The 15,040-nt window shown below is 38.5% G+C and overlaps 1 pseudogene across 1 annotated transcript in view; it reads right to left on the reverse strand.

Annotated features, from left to right (window-relative positions):
- Nucleotides 1–11,857: 11,857 nt before the first annotated feature.
- The window catches only part of PAFAH1B2P2 (PAFAH1B2 pseudogene 2), a 43,106-nt pseudogene continuing 39,923 nt past the window's right edge, over nucleotides 11,858–15,040 (reverse strand). Inside the window, exon 7 of the transcript NR_077241.1 lies at nucleotides 11,858–12,277. The product of NR_077241.1 is annotated as a PAFAH1B2 pseudogene 2, transcript variant 2 (transcript). The remainder of the gene's footprint in view (nucleotides 12,278–15,040) is intronic.

Below are 15,040 nucleotides of genomic sequence, written 5' to 3' on the forward strand. Positions count from 1 at the left end.
CAGTGAAATGGACAAGAAATCGCATTACATTGCCTTTTCCAGCTACGATAGCACACCAGCTAAAACAAGACTCAGGTTGGAGGGATGTCTGAGGGGAGAGAAGAATGCAGTTGTGTTCTGGGTGTTTCAAGCTATAAAACCACACTGGGCAAATAATGCATGGGTCATTTTACCTTCCCAAGTGAAAGTATCTATTGTTGATAAACAATGAGTGAACTCTTTAGCAATATATTACCATCTCCCTCATGTAAGCATTCAAGGCTTCTAGTCCTGAGAACCATGGCGAATATAAAACTCTGGCATCATAATGCCTCTTTCCACAATGATCTGACAAAGATCATTTGCTTGGCCAAACTTTAATCAGGCTTCTGAACCATTTCCTAGGCCCATCTGTGCATTTCCTTGTAAAATCTCATTGTAACAAAAAGCCCTGCTAAGTGAGTTTAGCATGAAACCCCCATCGCTGACATCTGATCACCCTCCTTATCTAAGTTTCCTCATTCGTTAACGTCCCTTATGGGATGTGTGGTCAACCTGACCGGTCTTCAGCAAGAATCCTGTTAGGTCAGTTTAGCCAGAATTTCCCTTACCTCTGAATCTCCCTCTTAGTAATTTTGACCACTCCCCTTGCCTCCTTGGCTATAAATTCTCATTTGCCTGTGCTGTATTCAGAGTTGAACCCCATCTCTTTCCCCCACTGCAAGATCCCATCACAGTGGCTCCTATACCTACTGCAGTGTTTCTAAATAAAGTCTTCCTTACAGTGATTTAGGAAGTATCACTGAATAACATTTTTCTTTAACAGACCACCTTAATTTTTGAAAGATTCCTTTTAAAAATTAAGGTTGAATGAGAATAAAAGGAAGATTTGATAAAGAGATGTAGATCTCTTCCTTTTTTCTTGAGAAGGAAAACAGGAGCTGTGTACAGGGAAGCCTTTTCTAATTCCAGGCTAGGGCTCCTCTCCTTCCAACGTGTCTTCACCCACAAGTGCCAGCAAAATTAGGGGGCTTGAAAGTTTATACTAGGCACTTTTACATCCCTTGTTTATTATTCTGCAAATACATATTGAATCTCTAGTACTAAGGCCAGAAACTCCTCAGGAACTAGGGCTAAAACCATGAACAAAAACAACAAAAAAGTCCTTCCTCTAACGAGCTTTTATTGTTGTTAGGGGAAACAAATTACAAATGAAAACATATTAAATAAATATATAAAATATCAAGTAAAGATGCATGCTTATAAAAAACTTATGGCAGGGTAGGCTCTGTGGATTCAGAGCATCAGGAGGGGTATATATTCTGTCATGCAGATTAGAAAAGGCTTTTCATATAAGGTGACATTTGCCATGCTTGACTGAAGTAAGGAGGTGGATTAGGAAGAGTTAACAGTACATGCAAATCCTCTTGGGCAGTGATATATGTTGCATGTTCTTATTCTAGAAAAAGCAAGGAGGCCAGTATGGGTGAAACCAATAAGAGAGGAGGGGAATGTGAGGCAATGAGATAAGAGAGGAATTAGGAGGACAGATCACATAGGGTCATTGGCCATGGTGAGGACCTCGCATTTATTCTGGGTAAGGTAGGATGCCTCCAGAAGGTTTGATTGAGCAGAGGAGCAATATGATCTACCAAACGCCTTTCATGGCTCCCTTTTTTACTTAGAGCAAAAACCAAGCACTCATGAGTGAAGTTGTGCTGGAGAAGCTTGCTGGAAAGTGGCAAGTAAGGTATAATTCCAATAATGTTACTTCACAGGGTTAGGCAGACAAATTGTAGTTGAAGGAGGTACTGTGAGCAAATGACATCTGATTCCTGGAAGGGCAATAACAATGCCATTGCCACAAAACAGTTGCAGATTTTCTTACATTTTTCGACATGCCATCATGTGTATGTTCTCCCTTTCTTTCTGTCCATTAGTCAAGAAAGGTAAAGACCTATGTTAAATTTAGGGAAACTGAGGCACAGTAATTTTTAAATGTTAGCCAATTGCAACATTTAATGAATAGCACAATTATATGTGGCAAACATTTTTCTAGGACTATATATACATGGTTTAAACCCATTCAGTCTTTCCCCAGATTCTATGAGTTGTGCCATTTTACAGAGGAAGAAACTGAAGAATAGAGAGATAACATATCCTGCTCAAAGTCATACAGCTAAGAAATGACAGAGAAAAAATTCAGCCAGTCTGTTTGGCACCAAAGCCCTAATTCTTAGAAGATATTTCATTCGTTCAAGGTCACATAGCTTGTACATAAGTGACTTGATTCTGAGTTGTTGTTTTCCCAGAAGAGCGATTATAATTTGGTTCACTCACATTAATTCCATATACTTTCCTTGGAAGACCCCCTTTACATTTCTGTTTTTGCTGTTTGGGCTGACTGGCTCTACCCCTAATTGTAGGAGTATGTATGTGACCCAGTTCTGGCTAGTGATTCTGGTTAGAGTGGTTGATTCAGGGATGGGCATATGATCTAAATTGCTTAATGAAGTCTTAATTTTGGAACCTTTTCTGTTGGGAAAAGAGGATCTTTACTTCCCCTGGGAAGCTATTAAAATGGAAATGCTGGCAGTCATAGTGCCACCAGTTGGAGGGAGGGGAAGAATTTGACTGAGATATAGCCAACAGTCAATCAAGAGAAAGAGAAGCACAGCCAAGAGCTGTCGATTCCTGAATCCACCTCTGCCTATAACCAGCTTCTTCTAACTTTTCCATTATCTGAAACAATAAATTCTTCATTTTGCATAAACTATTACAATTTGGATTTATTTTATTTGTGTCTAAAGAATTCTGACTAATATACTACATTACTGTGTAAATCACAGTAAAGTAGCCTTAGATAAGGCTTCATATTTCAATACACTATCAGTTAATCCCTCAATGAGATTTTGTTGGTAGTCATTAAAAGTTACTGGAGATACCATCCAGTAATTGCATTCCTGGGTATTTACCCAACTGATTTGAAAAATTATGTCCATACAAAAACCTGCAAACCAGCACATAAATGTTTATAGTAACTTTATTTATAATTACCAAAAACTGGGAAAAACTAAAAAGTTCTTTGATGAAAAAGTGATTGGATAAACAAACTGTGTACATCCTTACAATGAGATATAATCCAATACTTGAAAGAAACGTGGCATCAAGCCGTGAAAAGGCATGGATTAATCTTTATTTATTTATTTATTTATTATTTATTTTTTATTATACTTTAAGTTTTAGGGTACATGTGCACATTGTGCAGGTTAGTTACATATGTATACATTTGCCACGCTGGTGCGCTGCACCCACTAACTCGTCATCTAGCATTAGGTATATCTCCCAGTGCTATCCCGACCCCCTCCCCCCACCCCACCACAGTCCCCAGAGTGTGATATTCCCCTTCCTGTCTCCATGTGATCTCATTGTTCAATTCCCACCTATGAGTGAGAATATTCGGTGTTTGGTTTTTTGTTCTTGCGATAGTTTACTGAGAATAATGATTTCCAATTTCATCCATGTCCCTACAAAGGACATGAACTCATCATTTTTTATGGCTGCATAGTATTCCATGGTGTATATGTGCCACATTTTCTTAATCCAGTCTATCATTGTTGGACATTTGGGTTGGTTCCAAGTCTTTGCTATTGTGAATAATGCCGCAATAAACATACGTGTGCATGTGTCTTTATAGCAGCAAGATTTATAGTCCTTTGGGTATATACCCAGTAATGGGATGGCTGGGTCAAATGGTATTTCTAGTTCTAGATCCCTGAGGAATCGCCACACTGACTTCCACAATGGTTGAACTAGTTTACAGTCCCACCAACAGTGTAAAAGTGTTCCTATTTCTCCACATCCTCTCCAGCACCTGTTGTTTCCTCACTTTTTAATGATTGCCATTCTAACTGGTGTGAGATGGTATCTCATTGTGGTTTTGATTTGCATTTCTCTGATGGCCAGTGATAATGAGCATTTTTTCATGTGTTTTTTGGCTGCATAAATGTCTTCTTTTGAGAAGAGTCTGTTCATGTCCTTCGCCCACTTTTTGATGGGGTTGTTTGTTTTTTTCTTGTAAATTTGTTTGAGTTCATTGTAGATTCTAGATATTAGCCCTTTGTCAGATGAGTAGGTTGCGAAAATTTTCTCCCATTTTGTAGGTTGCCTGTTCACTCTGATGGTAGTTTCTTTTGCTGTGCAGAAGCTCCTTAGTTTAATTAGGTCCCATTTGTCAATTTTGGCTTTTGTTGCCATTGCTGTTGGTGTTTTGGACATGAAGTCCTTGCCCATGCCTATGTCCTGAATGGTGATGCCTAGGTTTTCTTCTAGGGTTTTTATGGTTTTAGGTCTAACGTTTAAGTCTTTAATCCATCTTGAATTGATTTTTGTATAAGGTGTAAGGAAGGGATCCAGTTTCTGCTTTCTACATATGGCTAGCCAGTTTTCCCAGCACCATTTATTAAATAGGGAATCCTTTCCCCATTGCTTGTTTTTCTCCGGTTTGTCAAAGATCAGATAGTTGTAGATACGTGGCGTTATTTCTGAGGGCTCTGTTCTGTTCCATTGATCTATATCTCTGTTTTGGTACCAGTACTATGCTGTTTTGGTTACTGTAGCCTTGTAGTATAGTTTGAAGTCAGGTAGTGTGATGCCTCCAGCTTTGTTCTTTTGGCTTACGATTGACTTGGCGATACGGGCTCTTTTTTGGTTCCATATGAACTTTAAAGTGGTTTTTTCCAATTCTGTGAAGAAAGTCATTGGTAGCTTGATGGGGATGGCATTGAATCTGTAAATTACCTTGGGCAGTATGGATATTTTCACGATATTGATTCTTCCTACCCATGAGCATGGAATGTTCTTTCATTTGTTTGTATCCTCTTTTATTTCCTTGAGCAGTGGTTTGTAGTTCTCCTTGAAGAGGTCCTTCACATCCCTTGTAAGTTGGATTCCTAGCTATTTTATTCTCTTTGAAGCAATTGTGAATGGGAGTTCACTCATGATTTGGCTCTCTGTTTGTCTGTTGTTGGTGTATAGGAATGCTTATGATTTTTGCAATTGATTTTGTATCCTGAGATTTTGCTGAAGTTGCTTATCAGCTTAAGGAGATTTTGGGCTGAGACAATGGGGTTTTCTAGATATACAATCATGTCGTCTGCACACAGGGACAATTTGACTTCCTCTTTTCCTAACTGAATACCCTTTATTTCCTTCTCCCGCCTAATTGCCCTGGCCAGAACTTCCAACACTATGTTGAATAGTAGTGGTGAGAGAGGGCATCCCCGTCTTGTGCCAGTTTTCAAAGGGAATGCTTCCAGTTTTTGCCCATTCAGTATGATATTGGCTGTGGGTTTGTCATAGGTAGCTCTTATTATTTTGAAATACGTCCCATCAATACCTAATTTATTGAGAGTTTTTAGCATGAAGCGTTGTTGAATTTTGTCAAAGGCTTTTTCTGCATCTATTGAGATAATCATGTGGTTTTTGTCTTTGGCTCTGTTTATATGCTGGATTACATTTATTGATTTGCGTATATTGAACCAGCCTTGCATCCCAGGGATGAAGCCCACTTGATCATGGTGGATAAGCTTTTTGATGTGCTGCTGGATTCGTTTTGCCAGTATTTTATTGAGGATTTTTGCATCAATGTTCATCAAGGATATTGGTCTAAAATTCTCTTTTTTGGTTGTGTCTCTGCCCGGCTTTGGTATCAGAATGATGCTGGCCTCATAAAATGAGTTAGGGAGGATTCCCTCTTTTTCTATTGATTGGAATAGTTTCAGAAGGAATGGTACCAGTTCCTCCTGGTACCTCCGGTAGAATTCGGCTGTGAATCCATCTGGTCCTGGACTCTTTTTGGTTGGTAAACTATTGATTATTGCCACAATTTCAGCTCCTGTTATTGGTCTATTCAGAGATTCAATTTCTTCCTGGATTAGTCTTTGGAGAGTGTATGTGCTGAGGAATTTATCCATTTCTTCTAGACTTTCTAGTTTATTTGCGTAGAGGTGTTTGTAGTATTCTCTGATGGTAGTTTGTATTTCTGTGGGATCGGTGGTGATATCCCCTTTATCATTTTTTATTGTGTCTATTTGATTCTTCTCTCTTTTTTTCTTTATTAGTCTTGCTAGCAGTCTATCAATTTTTTTGATCCTTTCAAAAAACCAGCTCCTGGATTCATTAATTTTTTGATGGGTTTTTTGTGTCTGTATTTCCTTCAGTTCTGCTCTGATTTTAGTTGTTTCTTGCCTTCTGCTAGCTTTTGAATGTGTTTGCTCTTGCTTTTCTAGTTCTTTTAGTTGTGATGTTAGGGTGTCAATTTTGGATCTTTCCTGCTTTCTTTTGTGGGCATTTAGTGCTATAAATTTCCCTCTACACACTGCTTTGAATGCATCCCAGAGATTCTGGTATGTTGTGTCTTTGTTCTCGTTGGTTTCAAAGAACATCTTTATTTCTGCCTTCATTTCGTTATGTACCCAGTAGTCATTCAGGAGCAGGTTGTTCAGTTTCCATGTAGTTGAGCGGCTTTGAGTGAGATTCTTAATCCTGAGTTCTAGTTTGATTGCACTGTGGTCTGAGAGATAGTTCGTTATAATTTCTGTTCTTTTACATTTGCTGAGGAGACCTTTACTTCCAAGTATGTGGTTAATTTTGGAATAGGTGTGGTGTGGTGCTGAAAAAAATGTATATTCTGTTGATTTGGGGTGGAGAGTTCTGTAGATGTCTATTAGGTCCACTTGGTGCAGAGCTGAGTTCAATTCCTGGGTATCCTTGTTGACTTTCTGTCTCGTTGATCTGTCTAATGTTGATAGTGGGGTGTTAAAGTCTCCCATTATTAATGTGTGGGAGTCTAAGTCTCTTTGTAGGTCACTCAGGACTTGCTTTATGAAGCTAGGTGCTCCTGTATTGGGTGCATATATATTTAGGATAGTTAGCTCTTCTTGTTGAATTGATCCCTTTACCATTATGTAATGGCCTTCTTTGTGTCTTTTGATCTTTGTTGGTTTAAAGTCTGTTTTATCCGAGACTAGGATTGCAACCCCTGCCTTTTTTTGTTTTCCATTTGCTTGGTAGATCTTCCTCCATTCTTTTATTTTGAGCCTATGTGTGTCTCTGCACGTGACATGGGTTTCCTGAATACAGCACACTGATGGGTCTTGACTCTTTAGCCAATTTGCCAGTCTGTGTCTTTTAATTGGAGCATTTAGTCCATTTACATTTAAAGTTAATAGTGTTATGTGTGAATTTGATCCTGTCATTATGATGTTAGCTGGTGATTTTGCTCATTAGTTGATGCAGTTTCTTCCTAGTCTCGATGGTCTTTACATTTTGGCATGATTTTGCAGCGGCTGGTACCGGTTGTTCCTTTCCATGTTTAGCGCTTCCTTCAGGAGCTCTTTTAGGGCAGGACTGGTGGTGACAAAATCTCTCAGCATTTGCTTGTCTGTAAAGGATTTTATTTCTCCTTCACTTATGAAGCTTAGTTTGGCTGGATATGAAATTCTGGGTTGAAAATTCTTTTCTTTAAGAATGTTGAATATTGGCCCCCACTCTCTTCTGGCTTGTAGGGTTTCTGCCCAGAGATCCGCTGTTAGTCTGATGGGCTTCCCTTTGAGGGTAACCCGACCTTTCTCTCTGGCTGCCCTTAACATTTTTTGGCATGGATTAATCTTAAATGCATATTGCTAAGTGAAAGGAACCAGTCTAAAAAGACTACATATTGTATGATTCCAATTATATGACACTCTGGAAAAGGCAAAATCTAGCAATAGTGAAAAAGAATCAGTGGTTGGCATGGATTTGGAAGAAAGGAAAGGGAAGGTTGAATAGGTGGTGCACAAGAGATTTTTAGGGCCGTGAGACTATTCTGTATGATACTGTATTTGTGAATACATAATACTATGTGATTATTAAAACCCACTACATTTTACAGCACAAAGAGTAAACTGTAATGTATGCAAATTGAACATAACATCATGTAAGAAGTCTGAGAATCACAGGATGGAATACAGAATGTGACAAAACAATCTAACTATTCCAAGTGTAGGAAACAACCTTACTGAAGTGTGTGGGGGAAAAGGTGCTGATCTAAGTCACTTTGGAAATAAATGAAGTCTATACAACTAAAGGCAAAATAAATAGTACATAAGTATGTATTTTAGCTGATAATGTTATGTCCCACAGGAGTATGGGTTAAAAATTCTGATACTTACATCCACTTATGCAGGAATTGAATAATTACATAAATGGATGAATGGCAGAGGGTGGGAGCCAGGTTTCTCACTGCTGGAGTGAGAGTTTACAAAAAAGCAAGGGGAGGAAGCTGGCGTGATATATGTAGTAATGAATTGGAATTGGAGACATCATCAGTATGAACTCATACTCAACTAAATATACATGCAGATGATTACATATAGAAATATCTAGACCAGACATGGTGGCTCACACATGTAATCCCAGCACATTGGGAGGCCAAGGCAGGTGAATCACTTGAGTTCAGAAGTTCAAGACCAGCCTAGGCAACATGGCAAAAATGTGTCTCTACAAAAATTACAAAAATTAGCTGGGTATGGTAGCACACCTGTGGTCCGAGCTACCTGGGGGGCAGAGGTGGGAGAATCGTTTGAGCCTGAGAGGTTGAGGCTGCAGTGAACCTTGATTGCGCCACTGCAGTACAGCCTGGGTGACAGAGTGAGACCCTCTATCAAAAAAAAAAAGAAGAAGAAGAAAACGAAATATTTATAGATACCTGTGTATCTGTAAATCTACACACATATGTATTTCCTTGCTCTTTAAGCTCACAGGGCATAGAAGAGCCAACACTCCAGTAACATGAGCAGAGATCTTGGTTTTCATTCTCCAGTAAAAGAAGCAAGGATTCTATCTTAGTTGTTTGTGTTGCTATAACAAGATACCTTATAATGGGTAATTTATACCCAACAGATTTTTTTTTTCCTTATAGTTCTCAAAGCTGGGAAGTCCAAGATCGAAGCACCAGCCTTGGCATCTGATGAGGGCTGCTCTCTGCCTCCCACATGGCACCTTGTTGCTGTGTCCTCACATGGCAGAAGGTGAAAGGGCAAGAGAGTGCTTCCACTGACCTCCAGCACTTTTGAAGGGTGTCACCTCCCAAACGCCACACCTCTTTTTTTTTTTTTAAATATATTTTTATTTTCACAAAATCTAGCTTACATCACTTCATCCATTTTATATAGACTTTAGCACATCCACATGCAATCAGTTCATATTATTTCCCTTTACCAGGTGTTGAATATCTTACTAAAGTAAAATAGGTCATTTTTTTGCTATGTATTATTTAATATACTTATTTGGTTTTATTAAATGTTAAATCATATTAAGCACATCATAATAAAAATACTGCTGCACTGGGGATTAAGTTTCAACATAAATGTTGAAGGGGACGCCATTACTTAAACCATATCAGGCTCCTTGAAGAACTGACTTAAAATGGCAGATTGTATGTCTGGGGCATGAAATATATAAGAATAGCTTGAAGCATCTTACAGTGCCATAAAATAAGTAAGTGCTCAAACAAAAATAACTGAAAATGAAAGAAAGAATGCCAAAGGAATACAACTGAAAGAGCTCTAAGTAGCCAGAGTTGAAACAATTTGACAATAAACAAATAAATAAATAAAGTGTTGGATGATAACTTTAAATATAAGATAAATATCCACAAGCCCTACTGATATAAGTAAGGATTCATTAAATAAATGACGGAGAATAGACAACTCCTCCGTGCAGAAGAATTCCAAATAATTTATGTAAATCTCCACTTTCAAAGATACGGAGCATAACACATTATTCTTTAGTGTCGCTGCACACAACACCTCATCCAGGTGATCAAGATCAACCACAGTGATGTCATGTTGATAGTACCTATCCATGATATGATGTACTGAAAAATAGCATTTTTCCTCTGTAGTTTTCCTCCCCTAAACCCATAACCCCAATCTAATCATGAGAAGAATTTTGGACAAATCCCAAAAGAGACTTTCTGTGGAATATCCCACCAGTACTCCTCAAAACTGTCACGGTCATCAAAAACAAAGCCTGAGAAATTGTCACAGTCAAGAAGAACTTAAGGAAGTATGATGTTTAAATGTGATATGGTATCTTGGATGGGGTCAGAAGAATGACATTAGGTAAAGACTAAGGAAATCTGAATAAAGTAATGGACTTTAATAAGAAGAAGGTATAAATATTGTTTCATTAATTGTGACAAATGCTAATGTAAAATGTTAATAATAGGGAAAATTGAAATCAGGATATATGGGAATTCCATTATATTTGCAATTTTTCTGTAAATCTAACACCGTTCTAAAACATGAAATTTACATATGTAAGAAAAAGTTACTGAAGACAGAATTCCTAGGTAAAGTGCTTAGAGAATAAGGGGTAGGCAACAGGAGAAAGACAGTTGAAGAAGAAAATAGAGGTAGTTATTTTCTGAGACTTTAATTTGAACTAATTAACAGGTTCACCTACTTCAGTCATCTGTTCACCTAACACATATCATTTGCATGTCTGCAGGTACCAGGACCTCTGCCAAGAGACAGCGACACAATGGTGAACCAGGAAATGGCATATCCCCTGTCCTCAGGGAACCAGATGAGTAGAGAAGACAAAATTTACTAAAATAATCAATCATTTGAGTAAATGTAGAATTTCAAGGGTAGTTAGAGTTACAAAGGAGAGGTACACGCTACCATGAGAACACAAAAGGGGCATTTGTGTCCATCAGAGAAGCTAAGAAACATGTCCCAGAGCCAATATTAAAACCACAGTGGTAACATATACACCACTGTGAGAGTGTAGGGAAATACTTGAGCTCTTCACCAAATATAACGGCAGCATTTGAGATTTCTTAGCTTCATTTTGTTTGTTGCAGTTAGCCCAGATTGACTGTTGTGCAAACAACTTCCATTTGGTTTAGTTTTTGATAACTCGTTTTATGATAGGCAGCTGCTTCTTATTTGAAGTGAGAGATGAGGTAAGAAAGAATTCAAAAGATTTGAAGGCTACCTGACAGGGTTGCTTCATGATAACAAACAGCCATTCTCAATGTTTGAAGTGGAAGGCATTACTTCCTCAGGGTCTTTCGGGTTTTCTCTGTTTTTTGTTTTTTTCAACTGTGTGCTGCGCCCCCCACCACAATTCCAATGATTTCCCCCATAGATAAGAAATAATTGCTTGTTTCTTGAAGAATTTTTTAAAAAGGGCTATCCTAAGGCTGCGTTTCTCATATTTGGTATGAATATGACTAATGTCTATTCTAATCCTTGAGGCATTCTTAAGAAGAGGCAGCATACGAATTTTAAAAAGGCTTTAACCTTTTTCCTTTGCTCATTATGTAAATTCTATTTTTCAGCTTCCCTTTTCCCCCTACCATCAACCCTCCACGCTTACTCCTCTCCCCTTTATTTTTCTGAATGAGCTTTCTTCTCTTTTGTCTTTTTTTCAGGATAGATGTTATTCTTCACATTCTTTCTGGGTGGAGGGGGATATACTAAGCCTATTAATATGTTTACCTTTTTACCTATTTAGAATATGGTGAAGGACAAGGAAAATAAAATGAGTAAGCGGTGCCTTCTGAATAATGCCATGGAGCTTATGGTAATGGCAGAGCCTTTTCTGAGCATTAAAGTGGTAATCTGACTGCATTGTTAGAGTAAATAGAGTATTCAGCCTTCTAATCTTTCATATGTAACAACAGCCCAAGTATATTAATTATAACTTGAGAAATCAATGTGAGCTTCTAACACACAGGTACCATTTTCCTAAAGGCAGGATGAGACAGTGTTAGCACAGAAATAAAATAATCCTCATAGTCACTGCTCACCTTTGCCCTCATTTTCATTCCTGGTTTTATTCAGGAGTAACTAAGCAGGTTAATGTCACAGAACTGCCTGTGATTATCTTTAGTTTAAACAACAGTGTCTGCCCAAGATAAATGCACGTGTGAGATAGATTTCACCCCTGAGAGCAGTTCATCTTTCCTTCTGCATGCCATTTTCCCTGTACTGCCCCTCAAATGGATTCTGAACATATAGATTACATTATCACATTAAATGAGGATGAGTAAACTTCAAAGGTTCAGAGTTAAGATGCACCTGGACTTTTAGATTCTGACTTGAAAGCGAGCTCACATTAACTGTTCCATAAAGCTGTGATGGAGACACCTAATGTCGTTGTCAAATTCCTCTGAGTAGTTTTTCAATGAGCCAAACCAAATGCAGGACTTCAGGGCTTGTGAGTTATTCTCTCTAAAGTGATGCTGCAAAGAAACATAACATAACGATTGACAATTTTACTAAAATCATGTATTATAAAAGTGTATTTGTATCAGTACTCACAGCCAATTGTATACCTACCTAGTTGTAACCATTTAGTTATTACACAAGAAAAAATGTGTGTAAATCGCAGTTTGGGGGCACATAGAAACAACACTATATACAAATTATAATTTGTATTCATTGGTTTATTCCTTTATTTATTCATTCAACAAATACACATGGGGCTTCCACTGCATCCAACCACCATGCAATCATGTGAGTCCATGAGGATATCTTTAGCCACCAGGCTGTGAGCTGAAATGACATGTGTCATTTCTGGGCCAAAGGTTTTAATTGCTGGTGCAAGACTCTCCAGAGCTCTCTTACTCTGCTGGGTGACGAAAGGTTCACACATCTCAGATGGTTCAGTTAAAAGATCAGGGGGACTATTAGCCTGGGTTCTGAGCGTAGCCCTCACTAACCCACAGTGGATGTGTAGTCTGGGTGAAAAACAAATTTTTGTTGTGTTAAGCCATGGGATTTTGAGATTGATTTGTTATTGCAGCATAACCTCGTTTATCTTGGCTAGCTAATGGAGTAGTTAATGCCTAACTGGTAATCATGATTATAAAAGTTTCCATGTATTAAGTTCATAGCAAAAATCCTGGAATATAGCCATTATTATCTGCATTGCAGAGATGAGGAAACTGAAGCTCAGAAGGTTAAGTACGTTACTCAAGGTTGCAGGGTTTATAAGCAGCAGAGAAAGGCACTGAACCAAAGCCCCATGTCCATAAATGTTTCTCCTATATGCTAAGTATCATAATCAGAAGCTACACATACGAATGAAAAAGATCTTTTCCAATATTAGAAAGATAATTGCTAATTCATCTATGTAGTTCAAACTTGTACAGTATCCATAAAACAGAAATAACCCTGTTTACATGCATTCTACAAAATCTTCAAGATATTAATAGAACTTGCTCTATGGTCAAATAATTTTGTGAGGCTTTCTATACTATACTATTTGTGTAAATAGTATGCATCCATTCAGATTCACTTAACTTCCCCTGTCTTCCAGCTGCTACTGTTGTCTTTTTAGCTATAGCTGCTACTACCTCATCCACCAGCATTACCAGCTCTCTTGGCAAGTATTGGACTACAGCAAGGCCTCCATTACTCCTGCTGCTGTGGAGTTAAGACACAGTTCACTGGTGTGTCAGCAAGACATATTGGTGCTTGCTAGAAATAGATTGCTACTGCATGGCAGCCACCGCTTGGGTGAGCCTGAAGCCCTCCCAATGGGCAAAGATACAGGTAGTATACAACAATTGGCCACAGACTTTATATGGAGAAGTACCTGTGATATGGATATGCATTGACTTCTCTGCAGCACAAATGGGCTACCTAGTTGGCTAATTAACTAGAATAGACGAAACGAAGGGATCAATGACTAGAGTGTCTAAGATGGAGCTAGGTAAAGGGATCTGTGGAAATCAGTAAAAACAGGCCAGCTTTGATAGCTTTAGAGATCAAAGAAGAATATCTCTAAAAAGATCACATTTGAGGGAAATGCAGTAAGACTTTCCTTGATATTCAGTGCTCTCCAGTTGCTCACGACTGTAGCTTTTACCATAGAACCCTATTTCTTCTGATCTCAATATGGAACTAATCTATATTTATATGAAAAGCATCACCCTGCCAAAATTACATGTCTATTGTAAGCCGTTCAAAAGTGTAATGTAAATGAATGAATAGGTGTTGGGGGCAGATATACACTACAGCAGCAAAATGGTAGAGGAACTAGCTCTGAGCAAGAGAGCCCTTTGGTGCTTCCTGGGTCAGAGTCATCAGCTCTGCCTGAGGAGTCTAATTCTTCAGTAGTATCGGCATCTCTCATGAATGTGCCCATTCTGCCCAGCATACAGGCTTCTAAAAGCTTAGGGACACACTGGGAACTCTTGAGACAGCACGGGCCTATGTAAGGGTATAGCAAGACTGAAATGTTTGATGGGAGAAAGAAGGGCAAGGATAGTAACATTTGTGCTACCAGCAGTGTTTCCTGAAGCATTATTCCTTACAGTTGTTTTTCTAGGAAGTAGGGGGTCCCTGAAAATATGATAGTAATGCTGAAGATAAAGTAGTGAAGTCCCCTTGGATGACATGGACTTGAATCCTGGCTGTGCAACTTACTCAGTAGATAACTCTGGGGAAATAATTTAACCTGTCTCAGTTCTCTCACCTGCAAATTGGGTGTAACAGACAATATCCACTCTGCACATAAAGTTATTACAAGTTTTAATAAGACCATGGTTCTTTCATTATTTGTATAATCTTGGGCAAGTCAATTAAATTTTCTGAGTCCCCTTTTCTTCATGTCATCTCTATATTAGAGGCTTAGTTCCAATAATCACCATGATCCTTCCAGCTCTGATGTTTGAGATCTATGCAAATGGAAGTGTTCACTGGGAAATGTCAGAGAAATGTAAATCTGATTATCCTTATAATTTATAATATTTGTATTAGTATTACTATTTTGAATGCAGCAGTCCTTAGGAACCAGCTTCCTCTAAGAAAAGAAAGAGTATGATCTTTGATATTCTCCACCTGGGACTGTTGTCCATGGCAGGGATGTGTCTCTGTAAAGGCCATTGCTAAGAAGCATGGAGCCCCTTTGCTCCTCCTGCTTGAAATTGATGCCCTTTCCTGCTCTAACCACCAGAGGGGAGACATCATCTGTTTCATGTTCTGATTTACACACAGGC

This window comes from Homo sapiens, chromosome 12, assembly GCF_000001405.40.
Source record: "Homo sapiens chromosome 12, GRCh38.p14 Primary Assembly".
Lineage (NCBI taxonomy): Eukaryota > Metazoa > Chordata > Mammalia > Primates > Hominidae > Homo > Homo sapiens.